The following is a 22,693-nucleotide window of genomic DNA, read 5'->3' as shown; positions in this document are numbered from 1 at the left end:
GGTAACTCCACAGGGCACTCCCCCATTCTCCCCACCAACCCCACAGAGCTGTGCTCACCTTGGAGTCTGAATGGACTTCCAGCTTCCCACTGCCAGGATCCCCGGGCCAGTGGCAGGCTGGGGTCCAGCAGGTCCCTGCTCCTGAGGCCTGGCTGGTCACATGGAAGCTCAACCCTCCTCTCTCAGCATCGGCTGTGTCAGCCAGTCCTTGGCCAAAGCCACCTTATGTTTAACTCCGCTCGTCAGCCGGCCCCTATTTTCTCATGAAGTCCAGGCTCTTTACGACTTATTAATGTTTATTTACTCTGTTTAAAGTGCACTCCTACTCTTAGAGACTCACTGCTCCTCTCTACAGAATTTAATTCCCTGAACAGCCTCTTCTGGTCCCAAGGAAGCCGCCCCAGGCAATCGGAGGCCGAGGCTGAGCCTGCTGCTGCCGGGTAATGAGCCGCAAAGCCATTTAACTGGGGCACAAGGAGATCTGAAAACTCGTGGGGCCCCAAAGCTGCTGGTGCTGTGCTTTCTTGTCCCTGACATCGGGCACGCATCCTCTCCCTCCTCCTGCCCTGTCTTCCCGCCCACTTGCTGAGAGAGGCCAAGACCTGGGGAATATTTGAGGGGTTGGCCGGGTGGCCTCAGATGATGGGAGATGTCCAATCCCCAGGCCCAGCCTCTGCGGCCTCTCGCCAGCCGCCCACACGCGCTCCTTGTTTTAGAAGTCCAGGCAGGGCTGGCTGGCAGCTAGTGTGAGCTGAGGCCCTCGGGGAGGCCGTCGTCTGTATCCTGGCTCTGCCCGCTGATGCTGCGGGAACAGATGCCCAGCCTGGCGGATGTGGGAGCTGGAATCCAGCAGGCCCCTGAGGTGAGGCAAGCCAGGCCCACTCCAGCCTCCTTAGCCACGCGGCCCACACTTACAGGGAGCTTGGTAATGGCTGCTTCACAGGGAGCTGGGAAGAAAAATGAGGGCAGAAGGGAAATGGCCTCAAGGAAGTAGGAGTCACCACCGTCTGCTGGGGCCCCACTTACCAGAGAGAGGAAGCTGAAGGGCAGGAACCAATCCACTCACCACGCAGATGCATGTCCTGGCACTGCACGTGCATGAATCCAAACAGGCAGGGACGAACCAGGCCAGATCTTCCCATGACCTTTACCCCTAGAGGGACTTGTGCTCCAAATTCCTGAGCACTCGTAAGGTGCCTGCAACAGATGATGTGTAAGACTCCGCCCCCGCCCCGGGGCACATGGAATCCACTCAGGGACTGCCCCAGGCTAAACTGTGTCCCTGCCAAATTCATACGCTGAAATTCTAAACCCCAGTTCCTCAGCAGGGGACCTTCTTTGGAAATACGGTCATTGCATATGTGATTAGTGAAGTGAAAATGCCGTCATTAGAGTGGACTTTAACTCATATGACCGGTGCCTGTATAAAAAGGGGAAATTTGGATACAGACACACGTAGAGGGAAGATCATGAGAAGATGCAGGGAGAAGACGGTGCCTACAAGTCAAGGGGAGAAACATGGGGCAGATTCTCCCTCCATCCTCAGAAAGAACCAACCCCGCTCATACCTTGATCTTGGACTCCCAGCCTCCAGAACCTCAAGACAATAAATTCCAGTTGTTTAAGCCACGCTGTGTGTGTGTGTGTGTTTGGGGGGGGTGGGTGTGTGTGTGTTTTGGGGGGGTGGGTGGGGCTTTGTTCTACCTGCCCCAGGACACTAACACAGAAGCAAATGGGAGCCCCCTGAAAGAGAGAACTCACTGCCTGGGTGCCGGACCGAGGGCAGGTACACAGAAGTGGTGCCAAGGAGCACCTTGGTCCCTGAGAGCTGCCCTCCTGGCCACACAGAAGGCTCCTAAGCCCAGGAGGAGGGGAAGAGGCCGGGAAGGTCAGACCTGAACAGCCCTACCTGCTACAGGTGAGGCTGGTGACCCAGCTGTCCTCCTGGCTGGGCCACTGATGCCAGACCCTCTCCACTTGTAAATGCCCCCTCCCTCTCCACCTACCCTTCCGAGATCTTGCCCATTGCAGCCTCTCTGTCTTCATAGACCCCAAATACCCTAATGGCCATGAGCCCCTGTTCCCTTCCTCTCCTGGTCATTTATACCTCATGATCCCACTGGCTTCCAGGGAAGACTTAATAAGGTGTCGGTGACAGTGACACCTCTGCACCAGTTTCCAGAGCCGAGCCGCGATGTTCATTTCAGCAGGTGGTGCCCGGCTCCTGAGCCTGAGTGGATGGGGCTGATTCACTGGAGACCACTTTCCTGGCCGTGGGTGGCTTCTCATTTCCCGGTGCTCACTCCTTCGGGTGCTTTTGCAAAGGTGTCCTTCCCCTGGTCACAGGAGATGTGATCCATGTTTATGTGGCTCAGAAGCAGAGACCAGCAGCTGCCTCCCAAGGAGGGGAACCATTGCCCAAAACTGTAACCTGTGCTGCTGTGCAGAGAAACAAGTGGGTCCGGGCACTGGCCACTGCAGAAGATACATCAGGGAGAAGGCTGAGCTCCCTCCCAGCTCCTGATACAGTTGGAGGGGTCAAGCTCTGCTGGCAAAACTGAAATCACCCCTCACAGCTGCCTGATGGAGGCCTTCGATGGGTACTTAGAGTCCTCTTCCCTCATGTCCTTTCTGAGAATAATGTTCCTCCAACCATGCAGGCCTGGCCTCCCTGCTTTGATCCAGAACGGGCCCATCTCAGGGGATACCTGGGCCTTTGTTCCTGACCACAGCCCCAGAGAGGGAGGGCACAGCTTCTTTTCGGGCATTCCAAGGCGGAAGGGAGGTGAGTGGCATGCCCGTGGTGCTTCGATGGGCCCTGCCCAGTGTGCCCAGCCTACAGTAACAGCAGAGGGTGGATCAGTATTGGGCTCAGCCAAGCTTTGTGGTCCAGGACGAAGCACTTCACCTCTCTGAGCACTGGCTTCCTCGCTGTAAAAAAGCTCCAACGCACGTGCTTCTGTGTGGATTGCATGAGAGTGGAATGAGCTCCTATAGGTGGCAGCTGCTCCCAGGACACTGCTCAACATTTGTTCTCACCTTCTTCCTTAGAAACATCATCCCAGCTGTATGTGGGGCATCAGTGAACCCCCTAATGCACACCTTGTATTTCCCAGCTGACTGAATTCGGACTGATGGAACGTGAGCAGGAGTGATGTGAGTCACTTCTGGGTGCAGGATCTGGGTGTGCCCTCCTCCTGGCCCTCTTTCAGCTGTAATGCTGGAAGTATTAGTGGGACTTTCAGGAATGTCCCTTAAAGGGAACTAAATCAGGTGGAAGGTGCACTTGTTTTGTCCTCCTCCCTCCACCCCTTCCTTTTTCTCTTTGGCTAGAAGAATGTGGTGGCTGGAGCTCCAGCATCTTTCTTGGCCCATGAGGTAACATTAAGAATGTAAGTATTGTCTGACATGGCAGAAGTACAGAAAGATATTGGGTCCCTGACGACAGCAAAAACCTTGAAGCAGCCCTCTGTCACCTACCCCTGAAGCTCCTATGTACTTAAGCTAGTGCTATTTTAGGATTTCTGATACATGCAACCAAACTTTATCCTAACTTTTGTGGTCTATAAAGCCATGTGCACAGTGCCCAGCACATAGTATGCACTGATTAAATGAAAGTGATTATTAGTAGGTTGGACCCATGACTCCATCCTGCCTCTGGTTTAGAAATTTAGAGCCAGCCCTATGTGCCCTGCACACATTCCCATCCGTTTCTCAAGATTAGCTGCTGCTCAATTAATATGCGGTGTTTTCCTTGTATTGTTTGTCTAGCCACATGCTAGCATCTGCAGTAAACCTCCTTTCACAGTTTACAAACTGTCATTTGATTCTCAACTAACAACCATGCAGCTCTCAGAAGGTTGCAGCCCCACTTGCCAGCTGAGGAAACAGAGGCCCAGAGAGGTCAACCTGCTGATGCAAGGCCACCCAGTCCCAGAAAAGCCCGTCCATGGCGAGTGTGGGTCTTGGTATTCTGACTCCATCCCCAGGCCTTCTGGGCAGCAGTGCTATAGCCCCTTGCATGGGATCCTGACCCCAGGGAGTACTGCAAATAGCAAACACTCAATGTGTGCAAGCAGAGTCAAGGTCAGGGAGCAACAAGGATGCAGGGAACCATCCAGGCAAACAGGGCAGCAAGGACAAGAGTGGCTCAGAACAGCCCTGAGGACGACGTGGCCTTGGGCTGGGAGAGGATAGCAGGACCGTCTGGGCGCCAGCATCCGCTCTCCCAGGAAGCAACAACCGCTCCCGTTGAGTCTGCAGCTATTTAAAATCCTCGACTGCACCAAACATCCACGGCCTCGGCATCCAGGCTTATTTTCACTCCACTTCTCCCAAGCCCTGGCGGGTCTCTCTAATAACAGTCAGAGTCTGGGGTGGGGAGGACTCCCTGCAGCCTGCACACGGAGGTGAGAGTGCCTCATCCACCCGGTGACCTGCCTGCCCCACCCCACACTCTTGAAGCCGCTCATGGGAGTCAGGCTGCCCGAGGAAGGGCTGGAGGTGTGGATCCTGTCACTCCGTCCTCTGCCTCTCCCAGTCAGCCCCTTGAGAGTCTTGCAGGAAAACCGTCTGATAGAAAGGCCATGGGAGGGCCATGATGCATTTGAAGGAACTACCCTAGCCAGGCCGGCTCTTTCTTTTTTTTTTTATTCTTTTTTATTTTATTATTATTATACTTTAAGTTTTAGGGTACATGTGCACAACGTGCAGGTCAGCCACGCATGTATACATGTGCCATGCTGGTGTGCTGCACCCATCAACTCGTCATCTAGCATTAGGCATATCTCCTAAAGCTATCCCTCCCCCCGCCACCCCACAACAGTCCCCAGAGTGTGATGTTCCCCTTCCTGTGTCCATGTGTTCTCACCGTTCAACTTCCACCCATGAGTGAGAACATGCGGTGTTTGGTTCCCTATTCCTGCGGTAGTTTACTGAGAATGATGATTTCCAATTTCATCCATGTCCCTACAAAGGACATGAACTCATCATTTTTTATGGCTGCATAGTATTCCATGGTGTACATGTGCCACACCTTCCCAGTCCAGTCTATCATTGTTGGACACTTGGGTTGGCTCCAAGTCCTTGCCATTGTGAATAGTGCCACAACAAACATACGTGTGTGTGTGTCTTTATAGCAGCATGATTTATAGTCCTTTGGGTATATACCCAGTAATGGGATGGCTGGGTCAAATGGTATTTCTAGTTCTAGATCCCTGAGGAATCGCCACACTGACTTCCACGAGGGTTGAACTAGTTTACAGTCCCACCAACAGTGTAAAAGTGTTCCTATTTCTCCACATCCTTTCCAGCACCTGTTGTTTCCTGACTTTTTAATGATTGCCATTCTAACTGGTGTGAGATGGTATCTCATTGCGGTTTTGATTTGCATTTCTCTGATGGCCAGTGATGGTGAGCATTTTTTCATGTGTTTTTTGGCTGCATAAATGTCTTCCCTTGAGAAGTGTCTGTTCATGTCCTTTGCCCACTTTTTGATGGGGTTGTTTGTTTTTTTCCTGTAAATTTGTTTGAGTTCATTGTGGATTCTGGATATTAGCCCTTTGTCAGATGAGTAGGTTGCGAAAATTTTCTCCCATTTTGTAGGTTGCCTGTTCACTCTGATGGTAGTTTCTTTTGCTGTGCAGAAGCTCTTTAGTTTAATTAGATCCCATTTGTCAACCCTGGCTTTTGTTGCCATTGCTTTTGGTGTTTTAGACATGAAGTCCTTGCCCATGCCTATGTCCTGAATGGTAATGCCTAGGTTTTCTTCTAGGGTTTTTATGGTTTTAGGTCTAACGTTTAAGTCTTTAATCCACCTTGAATTAATTTTTGTATAAGGTGTAAGGAAGGGATCCAGTTTCAGCTTTCTACATATGGCTAGCCAGTTTTCCCAGCACCATTTATTAAATAGGGAATCCTTTCCCCATTGCCCATCTTTCTCAGGTTTGTCAAAGATTAGATAGTTGTAGATATGTGGCGTTATTTCTGAGGGCTCTGTTCTGTTCCATTGATCTATATCTCTGTTTTGGTACCAGTACCATGCTGTTTTGGTTACTGTAGCCTTGTAGTATAGTTTGAAGTCAGGTAGCATGATGCCTCCAGCTTTGTTCTTTTGGCTTAGGATTGACTTGGTGATGCGGGCTCTTTTTTGGTTCCATATGAACTTTAAAGTTTTTTCCAATTCTGTGAAGAAAGTCATTGGTAGCTTGATGGGGATGGCATTGAATCTATAAATTACCTTGGGCAGTATGGCCATTTTCACGATATTGATTCTTCCTACCCATGAGCATGGAATGTTCTTCCATTTCTTTGTATCCTCTTTTATTTCATTGAGCAGTGGTTTGTAGTTCTCCTTGAAGAGGTCCTTCACATCCGTTGTAAGTTGGATTCCTAGGTATTTTATTCTCTTTGAAGCAATTGTGAATGGGAGTTCACTCATGATCTGGCTCTCTGTTTGTCTGTTATTGGTGTATAAGAATGTTTGTGATTTTTGTACATTGATTTTGTATCCTGAGACTTTGCTGAAGTTGCTTATCAGCTTAAGGAGATTTTGGGCTGAGACAATGGGGTTTTCTAGATATACAATCCATGTCATCTGCAAACAGGGACAATTTGACTTCCTCTTTTCCTAATTGAATACCCTTTATTTCCTTCTTCTGCCTAATTGCCCTGGCCAGAACTTCCAACACTATGTTGAATAGGAGTGGTGAAAGAAGGCATCCCTGTCTTGTGCCAGTTTTCAAAGGGAATGCTTCCAGTTTTTGCCCATTCAGTATGATATTGGCTGTGGGTTTGTCATAGATAGCTCTTATTATTTTGAGATTCGTCCCATCAATACCTAATTTATTGAGAGTTTTTAGCATGAAGGGTTGTTGAATTTTGTCAAAGGCTTTTTCTGCATCTATTGCGATAATCATGTGGTTTTTGTCTTTGGTTCTGTTTATATGCTGGATTACATTTATTGATTTGCATATATTGAACCAGCCTTGCACCCCAGGGATGAAGCCCACTTGATCATGGTGGATAAGCTTTTTGATGTGCTGCTGGATTCGGCTTGCCAGTATTTTATTGAGGATTTTTGCATCAATGTTCATCAAGGATATTGGTCTAAAATTCTCTTTTTTGGTTGTGTCTCTGCCCGGCTTTGGTATCAGGATGATGCTGCAGGCCGGCTCTTTCTAAGGGGAGTTTGGGCAAGGAAAGATGGCGAGAGAGAATGGAGATGAATGACAGCGAGAGAGTATGGAGATGAATAACATCCCTTTTAAAGTTTCAAGGTACCACACTCTTCCTACCCTGGAAAGGAAAGCCCCAGGCCAGTGTCTGGTGCACAGAAAGGACCCCGTAGCTGCTGGCCCTGCCCAGTGCTCTGTGTCATTGCTGAGCAACTTTTGTGCTTCCACAAAACCTAGAAGGCGAGGGCTTGAAAACCATCACTTTTGTGGATGCAATTGTGTATGTGTCTGTTGCCAGGTTCACTGGCTCTGGGGCTTTTGAAACTCCAGTCTGAGTCTCCTCCAAGATCCAGGAGTGCTTCAATGCTGCCTGCACCTCTAGTTCAGGGGCAAGATCAGCTTCTGGCATGTATCTTTGGAATAGACACCCTAGTGAGAACTGGGGCTCTGGTATTGCTGGCAGCTTCCCCCTTTCCTCTCCCATGAACTGGCAGTGAAGGAAAGGTTAGCATATTAGCATCACCACTGTGAGCACAGCCCCTCTGCCTGTCTGAAGGGAGAGAATGATTCATTCCTGATCTCAGCAGCCCCAGCACTGGGTTTGTGAAGACAGTAATTCTAGTACAGTTTTGTTTCCTTTCATCAGCGTGTTCCTGTTTCTGACCTTTGACACTGCAATCAGATCTTCAGAAACCTGCCTCTCTTCTGTACATCAAAAGCACAGACAGGCTGATGGGGGTTCAGGGCACTCAACATATAGGAAAATCCTCCTGGCTACAGCCTCCCATCATTTGCAAAGCTGGCAGTGAGACCAGATGCTCCAGCCACTCTGCGGCTGTCAGACTCGAGTCAGAGCTCCACACCATGGGGAAAATGCAGGAAGCCCTTGGAGGCTGTCAGGCAAATGGGAAGATGAATCTCACACTTAGAAAAGACTGGCATCAGCCCCCACACTTCTGAGACGCCTTGAGCCTTTCAGGAAAAATGCATGAAGAATCAGCTCAGTAAGGTGCGTGGGGGCTTGGGGGAGGTACAGACCCACAGGATGTAGTTCCTGGTGGAGGATATTTTCTAGCAGAGATTTAGATGCTGTACCGTATAAGGGGCAGCCAAGATAGAGTGACAGGGGTCAGGTTACACCCTGGCTGAAACAACCTGACAGAGTATATGAAGCAACAGTTTTCAATACATTGGACATCAGGCAGTGAAGGACAGTGGTCCCTGAGAAATGAGAAACACAAGAGTGTAAGCCCAAGCTCACCACCTGGACAGAGTTTCCAGGCAGCAGCAGGGGAGGGGGATGCAGGCAGATCCCGCAGCCTCTGAGTTGAGGAGACTCTGCTAAAAAGTCCAGGAAGGCAGAGGCGGCTGCATCAGAGTGCCAGAGACAAGAGAGAAAGCAGAGACCTGCAGATTGGCTGAGGTCTCCCTAACATCTCGTATTGAGTACTTGCCAATGGATGCCAGTGAGAGAATGACTTGAGGCCAGGGAAAAATACCCTGAAAGAATTAGAGGGGAACAATTCTAGAGCTCCAACCAGATCAAGAATAATGCCTGCTCCCACAAGCCAGCGTGGGAAACCTCATAATTGATGAGCCATAGGGGAGAACACTCAGAGGTCCTATGCCTTGGTTATGCCTTGGTATTGGGGCAAAATAGTCCTCAATGAAACACTACCCTGAGCCCGCGTACGAAAGCTTGAAAGCAAGACCAAATAGATCAAACTGTTTCCAAGTAACACAACCATATCCTGGAAAAAAGCACAAGAGTATTTATAGGAACACAAAAATATACAGCATGCAATAAGGCAAAATTCAAGTGTGTGGCATGCAATCAAAACTTATCAGACATGCAAAGAAGCAGGAAAATATTACCCAGAGATAGCACAGATTATAGAATTAGTAGATGAAAACATTAAAAGTTGCTATAACATTATCTCGTGTGTTCAAGAAGCTAGAGGAAAGAGACTGAACACAGTCTCAGTATATACAGATACAGAAGGAAAAATACCAATTCAGACTTATAGAGATGAAAACTACAATATCAGTTCTGAAAAACTGCACTGGATGAGATCAATAGCATAATATATATAATACATATATTATATTTATATATTATATATTATATATATTATAAGTATATATAATATATAATTATAATTGTATATATATAATATATATAATTATAATATAATATATAGTTATAATATATTAAATATATTATATATTATATATTAATAAATATATAACAAATAATTAATAAATATATTAAATATATATTATATATTATATATTATATTATATATTATATATATTATATTATATATTATATATATTATATTATAATATATTATATATATTATATATTATATTATATATTATATATATTATATATTATATTATATATTATATATATTATATATTATATATTATATTATATATTATATATATTATATTATATATTATATATATTATATTATAATATATTATATATATTATATATTATATATAATATATATATTATATTATATATTATATATATTATATATATTATATATAATATATATAATATATATATTATATATAATATATATATTATATATAATATATTAATTATAATATATATATTATATAAAATATATATAATTATAATATATATTTTATATAATTATATATAATATATATAATTATAATATATATATTATATATATTATAATTATATATATATATAAATTTCAGGGCATAGAAATATAAGTCACCCATAATGTCATGGAAAGGGGGCTGAAAATAATATACAAAGTATCAATGGACCATGAGACAATTTCAATAGCCTAATATGGATGCAATTGTGGGTCTTACTTTTATAAGAGGGAGGGTGGATAGTAAACATGTAAAGGAATACTGGCCTAATATTATTCAAATTTGATGAAAACTGCCAAGAAGCTCAATGAACCCCAGGTACAAGTATATTAGTCCATTCTCACACTGCTATGAAGAAATACCCGAGACCGGGTAATTTATAAAGAAAAGAGGTTTAACTGACTCACAGTTCTGCATGGCTAGGGAGGCCTCAGGAAACTTACGATCATGATGGAAGTCACCTCTTCACAGGGTGGCAGGAGAAAGAATGAGTGCCAGCAGGGGAAATGCCAGATGCTTATAAAACTATCAGATTCCATGAGAACTCACTCACTGTCACGAGAACAGCATGGGGGAAACCACCTCCGTGATTCAATTACCTCCCACCAGGTCCCTCCCAGGACACATGGGAATTATGGGAATTACAATTCAAGCTAAGATTTGGGTGGGGACACAGTCAAACCATATCAACAAGCAACATGACAAAAAATGACACCAAGGGATATCATAACCAAACCGCAACCAGAGAAAACGACAAATTATGTATAGAAATCATAAAAAAATTATTTGTATAATTTTTATACAAGTCATGTACAAATCTTTTGTACAGATTATGTACATGTCATGTACAAATTAAAAATTTAAAAGCAAGAGTTCACCAGCAATATGAAACCTACAAGAAACTCATTTCAAGTATAAAGACACAAATAAGTTATAATTAAATGGATGCAAAAAAATATACTAACCATGAGAAAGCTGGGGCGGCTATACAAATATCCGACAAGTAGATTTTAGAGCAAAGAATACTAAAATAAGGATAAAGACAGTAATTTCATCACAATCAAGAGGTCAGTTCCTCAAAGTGACATAACAACCCTAAACATCCATATACCTAATTAACAAGCTTCAGAATCCCTGAAGCAAAAACTTAAGGAGCTGCAAGGAGAGAGATAAATGGCAATTATAGTCAACACCCCTTTCTCAATAATTGGTGGAACAAGTAGACAGAAAATCCATGAGGATATAGAGTAACACTATCACCTGGGTTGATCTACTTAGCATTTAAAAGGCACTCCACCCAACAGCACCACGCATGCTCTTTTCAAGTGCGCATGGAAAATTTGCCGACATAGACCATAGTCTCATTTATAAAACAAGTTTCAATGGATTTCAAAAGATACGAGCTGTGGTGCGATAGAGTTTGGATGTGGCCCCCTCTAAATCTCATGCTGAAATGTCATCCCTAATGTTGGAGATGGGGCCCGATGGGAGGTGATTGGATCATGGGGCAGATCCCTCATGAAGGGCTTGGTGCCATCCCTTTGGTGATGAATGAGTTCTCCCTTAGTGAGTTCACCTGAGATCTGGTTGTTTAAGTGTGTGGCACCTCCCTCCTCTCTCTTACTCCCACATTCCCCACATGCGATGTCAGCTCCCCTTTGCCTTCCACTATTATTGTAAGCAGCCCAAGGCCTCACTAGCAGCTGAGCAGATGCTGGCACCATGCTCCATGTACAGCCCACAAAGCTGTTAGCCAATCAAACCTCTTTTCTTTATGAATGATTCAGTCTCATGTACTTCTTTATAGCAATACAAGAATAGCCTAATACATGGTGTTATGATATGTATTGGCTATTGTCCATGGTTCTTGGCTCATAACTCCCATAGCTCTTTTTTTTATTATTATTATTTTATTTTTTTGAGACAGAGTCTCACTGTTTCCCAGGCTGGAGTGCAGTAGCACGATCTCGGCTCACTGCAACTTCCGCCTTCTGAGTTCAAGCCATTCTCCTGCCTCAGCCTCCCAAGTAGCTGGGATTACAGATGTGCACCACCATGCCTGCCTAATTTTTGTACTTTTAGTACAGACAGGGTTTCACCACGGTTGGCCGTACTGGTCTCGAACTCCTGACCTCAGGTGATCTGCCCACCTAGGCCTCCCAAAGTGCTGGCATTACGGCAGTGAGCCACGGCGCCTGGCCCCATAACTCTTGTCTTTTACCATAAAGCTGGGTGTGTCAGGGCCTCAGGGGTAGGCCTCAGGAAAGAAAAAGTCTGTGATCTTCTCCTGCCCTCGTTTCACCTGCCCCAAGGCACGACTCTAATATTCCCCCACCTTTCTGATTGTGGGTATTAAGACTCTCCCCAAAAAGGGTCCCACCTTATCCCTGGGGAAGAAGTGCTAACTACATGAAGCTTCCATAAAAACCCAAGAGGACTAGGGTGCAGGAGCTTCCGGAGAGTTGAATACTTGGAGGCCAACAGGAAGGTGAAGAACTCATTCATGTGTCCAGAGGGTGGTGTGCCCCAACTCCAGGGGCAGAAGCTCCCATGCTCAAGACCCCTCCAGACCTTGCCCTGTGTATCTCTTCATCTGGCTATTAATTTATATCCTTTAAAATATCCTTCTTAATAAACCAGTAAGCACAAGTGTTTCTCTGCATTCTGTGAGCAGCTCTAGCAAATCAATCAAATCCAAAGAAGGGTTTGTGAGAACCCCAGCTTGAAGCCAGGTGGTCAGAACTTCCAGAGGCCTAGACTTGCTACTGTGGGTGGGGAGGGGACTGTCCTGTGGGATGGATCCCTCACCCTGTGGGATCTGGTGCTATCTCCGGGTAGACAGTGTCAGAACTGAATTGGAGGACACCCAGCTGGTGTCTGCTGCTTGATGCATGGAGAAAACCCACACACATTTGGTCACAGAAGTCTCTTCTGTGTTGACGGTTGTTGTGGTGTGAGAGTAGAGGAAAAGCACCATTTGAAAGAGCTTTTCCCTACACACAAGTTGTATAAAGTACATTCATTCTCCGACTACAGTGGAATTCAGCTAGAAATCAATAAGAGAAAAAATATCAAGAAAACTCACAAATACGTGGACATCAAATAATATACTTCAAAAGTGCCCATGGGTTGAAGAAAAAAATCAAAAGAAAAACTGGAAATTGGTAATAAAAATTAAACATAACTTATCTAAATTGTGGGATGCAACCAAAGCAGTAATTGGAGGAAAATTGATAGCACTGAAATACCTACTTTAGAGAGAAGAAAGACCTTTAATCTTTGACATCAGCTTCCCCCTTAAGAAATCAGCAAAAGAATAGCAAATTAGACCCTAAGTAACTAAAAGAAAATAATAATGACCAGAGTAGAAATCAATGAAATGAGAAGCAGAAAAACAATAGAAATTGATGAGATTAGAAGCTAGGGTCTTTGAGCAGGTAAACAAAATTTTGAAACTTCTAGTCAGACTGTTCACATAAAATATAGATAAGACATAAATTACCAATATTAGCAATAAAAGAGGTGACACCAAGACAGAATCTACAGAGGGTTACATAAATGTCAGCTACTACTACCCTGTGGGCTCTTCACTCAGGGACCTCAAGAGTCCAGTTATCAGGTACGGTGTCCAATGCACCCCCATTCCCACCCACCCTGTACCTGGCCCATCAACCTACGGGCAGCAAGGCTCAGCCTGCTGGAGGAATGTGTGAATGGCCGCAGCTGGTCCCAGGATTCCAGGGTGATGGAACTGCTGCCTCACATTCTTTGTGCCGACCTCTTGGCCACCCTGAGCTCCCTTTCTTCTCCCAGGGGATTCTGCCCCAGTACAACGTTGATTTGGTTCTGTTTGCCTGGTGACTTGATTTTGCATTTGCTCTCGGGCTTCTCAGGTTCTCCTAATAAATCTAAGTGGGCGAAAGTGTTGCCCATGGTTACCACCTGAGAGTGTCAGGAGTTGGTACCAAGATGGCACAGTCCCATTCCTCTGAGGAGGCAGGTGTGGAAAGGAGGGTTACTGGCTTGGGACCCGAGGGAGTGTCCACCTCTGGGAAATGTCCTTTCCTGGGGAAGCAGCAGCTTTGCCTCACACTGAGCTCATTGGTTCCTCTGGGAACAGTGACCCCTCTGGCCTGTGATTAGACCCACACTATTTCTCTAATGTTTTATTTACAGACATCTAAGTGTGAAATTCTGATAAATAAAAGATGATGTCATCCCAGCCAATCCCCAGTTGTCTCACCAATCAGCCTCTCAAGAAGCAAAGTATGACACACACATTTCACCCACTCTCAGCATCACCGAACTCGTGTTCCAAGTCAGGGCAGGGAGGGGGCTGGCAGGGAAAAAGCTTCCGGCATAGTAGCATCAATTTTTCAGCTACAGAGACAGAAAAAATATTCTTAAGGAAATGTTTATGTGCCTCATCGTATTCATTGTTCTATGTGGTCTAACCAATTACCAGAAATTTAGCAGCTGAAAGCATCACGCAGGCCGGGCGCGGTGGCTCACGCCTGTAATCCCAACACTTTGGGAGGCCGAGGCGGGTGGATCATGAGGTCAGGAGATCGAGACCATCCTGGCTAACAAGGTGAAACCCCGTCTCTACTAAAAATACAAAAAATTAGCCGGGCGCGGTGGCAGGCGCCTGTAGTCCCAGCTACTCGGGAGGCTGAGGCAGGAGAATGGCGTGAACCCGGGAAGCGGAGCTTGCAGTGAGCCGAGATTGCGCCACTGCAGTCCGCAGTCCGGCCTGGGCGACAGAGCGAGACTCCGTCTCAAAAAAAAAAAAAAAAGCATCACGCATTTACTGTCTCACAGTTTCCATAGGTCAGAATTCTGGGAGGTCCTCTGCCCAGGGACGCGGACTGCTCCTCTGACAGCCTCTGCACATGCTCAGCTCATAGAGGCAGGATGTCAGGGGGCCAGTGCCTCTCTACAAAGTATCACACACTGAGTGTCTTAAAACAACAAGAATTTCCTCTCTTACAGTTCTGGAGGCCAGAAGTCCACAATCCAAGTGTGTACAGGGCTGGTTCCTTCTGAGGCTGGGAGGGAGAATCTGCCCCAGCCTCATCCAGCTGCTGGTGGTTTGCTGAAATGTCCCATGTTCCTTGGTTTGAGGCAACGGCACCTGGTCTCCGCCCCATAGTCATGTGGCCTTCTCCCTGTGTGTTTCTAGATCTTTTCTTCTTCTAAGGACTCCAGTCATTGGATTAGGGCTCCCCCTAATCAGTATGACTGCACCTTAACCAGTTACATCTGCAAAGACCCAATCCCCAAATAAGCTCATACTCTATGGTTCCAGGCAGATGAGAATGTTGTGGGGTCATTATTTGACCCACTAAAGTCACTGTCAGCCTGACAACAAATGGGTGGATACAGTGAAGGCCAGAGGGGCTGGAGAAGGAGCAGGTGAAGCTGGGCTGGGCTTCGTGTCTGTGCCCCGAGTGTTCCCTGGCCTCACCTCCCACCCCCACGGCCTGCGGTGGCTGAGAGACACCAGTGTCCACCCTGGCCGGGGGCTCTTTCCCTAACAGCCCAGCAGGTGTGTGTTCAGGTGCCTTGGTCCACTGAGCCAGCTTCTCTGCAGTCCCTGCCCCCACCTCGGTGAAGAAATCCATGAGGATGCCCTGTCTTCATTTCTGGGGCAGCCTGCACCCCATCTTCCCTTGACTTCCAGTGCCCAGTGCCTGGAAGGTTCTCAAGAAATATTTGCTGAACAAATAATGAATAAGTAAATGGATAATCTCCCTCCCAGTGAGAGGCCAGACCCCACCTTGGCCCCACCTACCCATGCCCCACCTTTAGCCCACCCCAGATCCTAGGGTTCCCACCCACTTACCCCTCCCAAACCCTTCCAGTCCCCTGCAGCTCCCTGCCTCCCCACACCCAAGACCTGCAGTCTCTCCCTCGGGACCACTGATCAAACAGAGAAGGAAGGTGGGTGCTGGAAAGAAGAAGGAGGAGGGGAGAGACATTTCATGATTGACACAGGAGTGTGAAGTCCCTGGTTTGCACCCTGGCAAATACAGGGAAGGTACAAGAGAGGTTGGGTGGATGGAACTTCTGTCCCAATCAAATCCCATGCCTGGAGGACTCCTCAGTATCCTACTTATTTCTCACCACAATCCCAGGAAGCTGGGGCCCAATCACTCTCGTTTCACAGATGAGGAAACTGAGGTCAGCAGCTGTTGAGTAGCTGCATCAGGATCTGCATCCCACATCCAGCCCCTGAGACACTGCTGAAAGAGAGGGGCATGGAATGCGTGGGAAGGAGGCCCTTCTACAGGGAGTCAGGGAAGAGTCCAGCAGCAGAACTGGCTGTGGAAAATGAACAGGGTTGACTCGTGGGAAGGACCATCTTCCCATGTTTTCATCCTTTCTCTGCAGCCTGACTCTGAACTTTTGTGACTTCTCAGCCCAGATCTCCAAGTTAGAATGCTGGGCCTGGCCCAACACACCTGTCATAACTGTGATGTGGTTTGGCCGCGTCCCCACCCAAATCTCATCTTGAATTGTAGCTCCCATGATTCCCACATGTTGTGGGAGGGGCCCGGCGGGAGATGAATGAATCACGAGGGCAGTTTCCCCCACACTGTTCTCATGGTAGTGAATAAGTCTCAGGAGATCTGATGGTTTTATAAGGGGAAACCCCTTTCACTTGGTTCTCATTCTCTCTTGCCTGCCACCATGTAAAATGTGTCTTTTACCTTCAGCCATGATTGTGAGGCCTCCCCAGCCATGTGGAACTGTGGCTGTTTTTCCTCATAAATTACCCAGTCTTGTGTATGTCTTTATCCGCACCATGAAAACAGACTAATACAAACTAGTTGGTGAACTGAGTTTGTTCACAGAAACAGCAAAGGAGGGAGAAAGAGAGAAACAGAGAGAGAGAAAGATGGAAGGAAGGAGAGGGAAAGAGAGAGGAGAGAGAGGGGATGGAGGGAGGGGGAAAAATGGAGTCTTGTCTTCTTTGTCTTCTTTTATTTGTTACTTCCGTGATGGTAGACAGCACCACATCGTGGGATAAATCTGTCTCCTTGGTCATTAGAAGCTTACTCTGGACCTCTCTCCAGGAGTGAACCAGCAGAATGGCCCTGCAGGCAACAGAGTGACAATTAGTGGCAAATTATAACTCCTGAGCTCCCATTACCTGCTTCTGAGGTTTGGAATGTCTGGTTGACTTCTCTCAACTAGAAGAGTCTATTGTGTTCTGTTTCTTAATATAGATTCATGGATATGTTTTCAATGCTAAGAAAAGAATCTTTCACGTTTGGATTTTTTTTTTTTAAGATGGAGTCTCACTCTGTCCTCCAGACTGGAGTGCAGTGGCACGTTCTCGGCTCACTGCAGCCTCTGCCTCCTGGGTTCAAGCAATTCTCCTGCCTCAGCCTCCCGAGTAGCTGGAATTACAGGTGCACCATGCCCAGCTAATTTTTGTATTTTTAGTAGAGACAGGGTTTTACCATGTTGGCCAGGCTGGTCTTGAACTCCTGACTTCAGGTGATCCTCCCAAAGTGCTAGGATTACAGATATGAGCTACTGCACCCAGCCAAGGGGGTTTTTAAAGAATGCCTAAGAGTCTATATCTAAGGAAGTGAAGGCGAGTGAATCAACCCAGGCTGTCACCTGCGTGCGATACAAGGGACAGGAGGAGCCTGCTCTGCACTTGGCTTTTGACTTGGTTCTCAAGTGCTTGCCTTTGACTGAGGGGCCGACCCACAGCCCTGGTGGGGTGTGCAGGGCTGGGCCAATCATCATGCAACTGCCCTGCTGCGAGGAACAGCTGTTGTTTGCTGGTGCCGCCTGCGTGACCTTCTCACATTGCCCTCCCCACAGCCAGAAAGACATCATCATCCCATTCTACAGATGAGGAACATGAGGCTCTGAGGGGCTCTGGGACTGGATTCAAAGCCAGTGACGGGATGAACTGGGTATTTCCTTGGTGTTTCTGACAGTGAAGCCCATTCTCTACCCTCCAGCTGCACAAATCAAGATTCCAGTCTTGTTTTCCCCCATGACACTGGAGCAATGATATGTACCCCCTCGGCCTACAAGGTGGCTGTGACTCTCAGGTGAGAGGATAAGGCTCTCAGATGCTTGTGCCAGTTCAGATGAAAGGTGAAACTGCTGAAACAAAAGCTCTTAAGCAACAGCACACAGTGAGTATTCCCGATCAGCAGACAGCTCTGCTCCACACAGTCACTCAGGAACCCAGGCAGACAGCAGCTCTCATTTGCTGAGCTCTTACCAGCACTGAGCTCTTACTGGCACTGTGTTCCGGCACTGTGCTAGGTGTTCCCACACACACAATGTACAGACCCGGTGCCACTGTCAAGACTGCTAAAAGATTGACATACTCTTGCACATGGGTGGGTATATAGCACTGTCCCAAGGCCCCATGAACAGTCTGCATGCTCCCTGCCTCTGCAAATGAAGAGTGGTGACAATGGACACCAGGCCTGTGGATGCTGCCAGTTGTTAAATATCCTGGGTGTTGGCCCTGCCCTCCTGGCTCATTGGCTTCTCGTGCTACCCTCAGAGGTGTATGCTGCTGTCACCTTCCACTTTACAAAGGGGGAAGCAGGATCCAAGTAACCGGGGAGCTCACCAAGCCCCTGCAATGATGGGACGGAACAGCAGGGTCACCCAGGCCTCATTGTATCACAGACCCTTGCTGGCTCTGCTGGGTGGCCTCTCTGCAGCCAGCGAGTGGGAAGGGCTTTCCTCTTGCCTGGTTCCAGGCCAGAGTCACAGCCATGCTCCCAACTGACTGCAGGAGGAGTAACACAGTGGGGTGGGCCATGACTGACAGGCATCCTGCCCCATCTGCCAATCACCTCTAAGTCAGAGACAGGGCCTAGGGGAAGAAAGAGAAGGACAGGACCAGGTGAGGCAGGCCATGGGCACAGGTGAGGCTGCAGGTGTACCCCAAGATCTGCAGCCCCCTCCACCTCTTACCCACCTACTCCAGAGGCTCCCAAATCCCCCCTAGCTGCTGTGTGCAAGTCCCCCACCACATGCAGGGGGTGCAACCAGCTGCTAACACAAAGAGCTTCCTCGAGAGCCCCCGGCAGCACAGCTGGGGACAAGGGTCCTTTGTCAGACAAGTCAAACCCCGTCAGCCTTGCCTGGGAAACACCATGAGCCTCATGGGACTCACCGTGGCCATCGTCCTTGCCAGCCTCCTGACACTGCCTTCTCCCTGAAGCCACTTGGCCTTGATTACTGAGCCTGTGGGTGCCCTGCAGCCACCTGCTGAGTGAGCCCCAGAAAGGCTACCCAGGAAGCAGGCTCAGGGCAGCAGCAGCTGGCAAGCAACTCACCAGGAGTGCAGCTTGCAGGGCACCAGGAAGGCCAGCCCCTTCATCCGCTGGGCTGTGCCTTGCTGGCCTTGGCTGCTGTGAACCCACTGGTGGAGGCCCCCGGCTGCCTCTGGTGTCCATCCCGATTTCCCCCTGTGGAGGCATTTCCCCAAATAATGTACCTGCCATCTTATACTTGAGGAAGGGGTGCCACCACCCATCAGGGTGGAAGCAGGTAAACCTGAGAAGGAACACACCTGGCCACTCACCGGCTATGTAAACTATGCACACCTGTGAAATGGGGACAGTCACACCCGCCATTCTGGATGGGGGTGAGGACAACAGACAACATGTTATGCCCCTGAAGCACAGGACAGGCTCGAGAAACAAACCATCCTGAATGTCTCAGATGGTGGCCTCTGCATGTTGTGGAGGACCAGTGGGCAGCATGGTAACAACCGTTTTCATGTTTGGGAGCAAAACCCAGTGCAGGACTGCAGCAGTTTCTGGCCCCAAGCAAGGGCTCATGTCTGTTCTAATGGGGTGCACGGCCTAAGGAAGGGGCTTACAAGGAGTCGGCAGGGCCGGGGTGACCGCACTGGGCCGAGGCTGTTACTGGAGCATGAGAGTCCTCTGTACAGAGGGAGGGGCTCACAGCTCCTCAGGAGGAGGTGGGGATCCTTTCTGGGGGTTTTCTTGGGTTCCCCCCTTATCATCCGTTCTGGCCCCTGACCTGAGCCCTCGAATACAAACCAGATCCAGTTTCTTCCGTTTCCCGGGCTCAAGTGGGACAATGGGTCAGGGTCAGAATTGCCTGCCCAGGCTCTGAGGGAGTTAGAGGGATGCTGTTCCCGTGGGGGAAGTGCAGGAGGCACACATGTTCTGGATCCAGAGGGACCAGGGGTAGCTTCCGGCTCCATGCTGCCCACCAGGCCCTGAGAGTCCCCATCCCGGAAAAAGCAGGGGAAGCGGAAGCTGCTGGATCCCACTGAGAGAAACAACCTTCATCAGAGGCAAGTGCAGCCTGCTGCCCTGGGACTCTGAGTACCACAGATGGGAGCTGCAGGGCGGCCCCTCAAGAAGCAAAGTATGACACACACTTTTCACCCACTCTCAGAGTCCTGGAGCTTGTGGGTGTGACCTTATTTGGAACACAGGTGTTTACAGATGTCCTTAGGCTAAGGATCTTGAGATGCGATCATTTTGGATTATCCCCATAGGCCTTAGTCCAATGGCAGGTGTCCTTGTAGGAGAAAGCAGAGGGTGGTTTGAGGCAGACAGAAGGGAAGTGAAAGGAGAAGAAAGCACCATGTGGAGAAGGAGGTGGAAATCGGGCAATGTGGCCACAAGCCAAGGAATGCCTGGGTCCACCAGAGGCTGAAAAGGCAGCAGGGACCCTCCCCAGGGTGGTTGGAAGGAGCATGGGCCTGCCCACACCTTGGTTTCAGACATGTGGCCCCTAGGACTGAGAGAGAATACGTTTTTGTTGTGTTAAGTCACCCTGTTTGTGGGGAGTCATTGTGGCAACCTCGGAAAACTAACACAAGAACAGAATAAAAATTAAAACAGCCTCTGCCTCCCCAGGACCAAGACTGGGACTGGATGCGGGAAGGGCCGGGGCTGCCGCCACCACAGGCCTCCTCCTCTGAGCATCGGCGGATACGGGGTCCCCTGGGGGCCCCATCAGCCCCATACTTTCCTGCCCCAGGACCCAGGGAGGAGAGGGGAGGCTCAGCGTCTCTTCTGTGGCGGCCACCAGCTTCTGACGTGGCTCCCAAAGACCCTGCTTCCCACCGTCCTTCAAACTGAGTGCAAACTCCCTCCAGGCCTGAGGAGTTGGCGGGTGGCCCTGACTCCCCGTCTCCACATCATTCACGGTCACGTTGGCTTCCATTCTCTGAAGCCCCCCAGTTTGGGGCCTCTCCCTAAGGTGTCTCCCCATCCCCATCTCCCACCCTCTGACCCTCTCTTCTCCCAAGCTGCTCTCCTTTCTCTTCCAGGACAGTCAGATGCCCCTACCCCAGCCCAGGGGTCTTCAGCCCTCACCGCAGGTGAACATCACACAGACATTGGTTGGGTCACTTGCTTGCTGTCTGTTCACCTCCTAAAATGTAGTCCTTTGTCTTTTTCATGGCATCTGATAGCAGCACCCACTGCAGTGCAGGACAGACACAGCACTGTGCAAACAGCCATGGATGGTGGATTCAGGTATCACCCTGGACATGAGACCTGGCCTGAGGCCTTGCCCTGCCCTGCTCTCGGCCAGCACATTGTCTCCCAGAGTCCACCTCATCTCTGTTGGAACAGACAGCAAATCCATGCCAATGACAACCCATGCCAATGGCAAATCTGTGGCAAAGGCCTTCCAGAGAGAAGCAAGGCAGGTCCCAGACGCCGCCCCCACCCCATTTCATGACAGTCTCTGCATCTGCCCCCATGCTGCAGATACGGACAAACTGGAAAGACAAATGTTCTGAGCTGTCTCAGGAAACCTGGGAGGGAGGAAGGAAAATTTTTCCCTTCTATTTTGTATTTATTTAGAGCTAGGGTCTCACTCTGTCCCTCAGGCTGGAGTGCAGTGGTGTGATCAAGGCTTACTGCAGTCTTGAACTCCCAGGCTCGGGAGATCCTCCCACCTCTGCCTCCCACAGTGCTGGGATTACAAGTGTGAGCCACCACACCCAGCCTTTCTTTCTTAGGTGTCAACCTTAGGCAAACTACCCAGATTAATTCATTCAATTACTCATTCATTTAATTTACTCATCTTTCATTCATTCACTTCACAGATAAGCCTGGAAAGGAAACCACAAGCCCAGCTGAGTGGTTGTGCTACAGTCTGAGTATCTGTCCTCTCCAGAACCCGTGCTCAAACTTAATCCCCAATGCAGCAGTGCTGGGAGGTGGGGCCTTCAATAGGTGATTGAGTCATAAGGGCTCTGCCCCCATGAGCTGATTCATCCATTCATGGATTCGTGGATTCATGGATTATCAGGAGAGTGGGACTGGTGGTCTTACAAAGACGAGGAAGAGAGACCCTGCCAGCACGCTCAGCCCCGTGCCAGGCCATGCCCTGCACAGTCTCAGGGCTCTGTGGGGTCCCTACTAGCATGAAGGTCCTCATCAGATGTCAGCCCCTCAGCCTTGGACTTCCCAGCCTCCAGAACTGTAAGAAATACATTTCTTTTCTTTACAAAGGTCCAGTTTCAGGTATTCTGTTATAGGCAACAGTGAACTAACACAGGGTGCTAGACGAGAGAGATGCTTCATCAGTGCAGCAGAGTGAGCCCTGGGGCCCAGCACAGAGCTGAGCACCTGCCAGGTTAACCTCCCACAGGCCCCACCCAGCTGGGTGTCATCAACCCCATTTTACAGGCAGAGGGACCCAAAGTACACGATGATCTAGGATCCTGCCCTGTGGAGTTAGGGTTTAAATATAAGCAGAGGGCTCAGAGCCTGCACCCATTGCCACCATCTGGGGGTGGCCACCTGCCGGGAGTGACCTTTCCATGCTCTTATGTGGACTCCAGGGTGGGGAGCAGCTCTGACTGGCCCCTGCACCAATCGCCTTCG

Source organism: Homo sapiens, chromosome 1 (assembly GCF_000001405.40).
Source record: "Homo sapiens chromosome 1, GRCh38.p14 Primary Assembly".
Classification (NCBI taxonomy): Eukaryota; Metazoa; Chordata; class Mammalia; order Primates; family Hominidae; genus Homo; species Homo sapiens.
Note: the sequence above shows the minus strand (reverse complement) of the source record.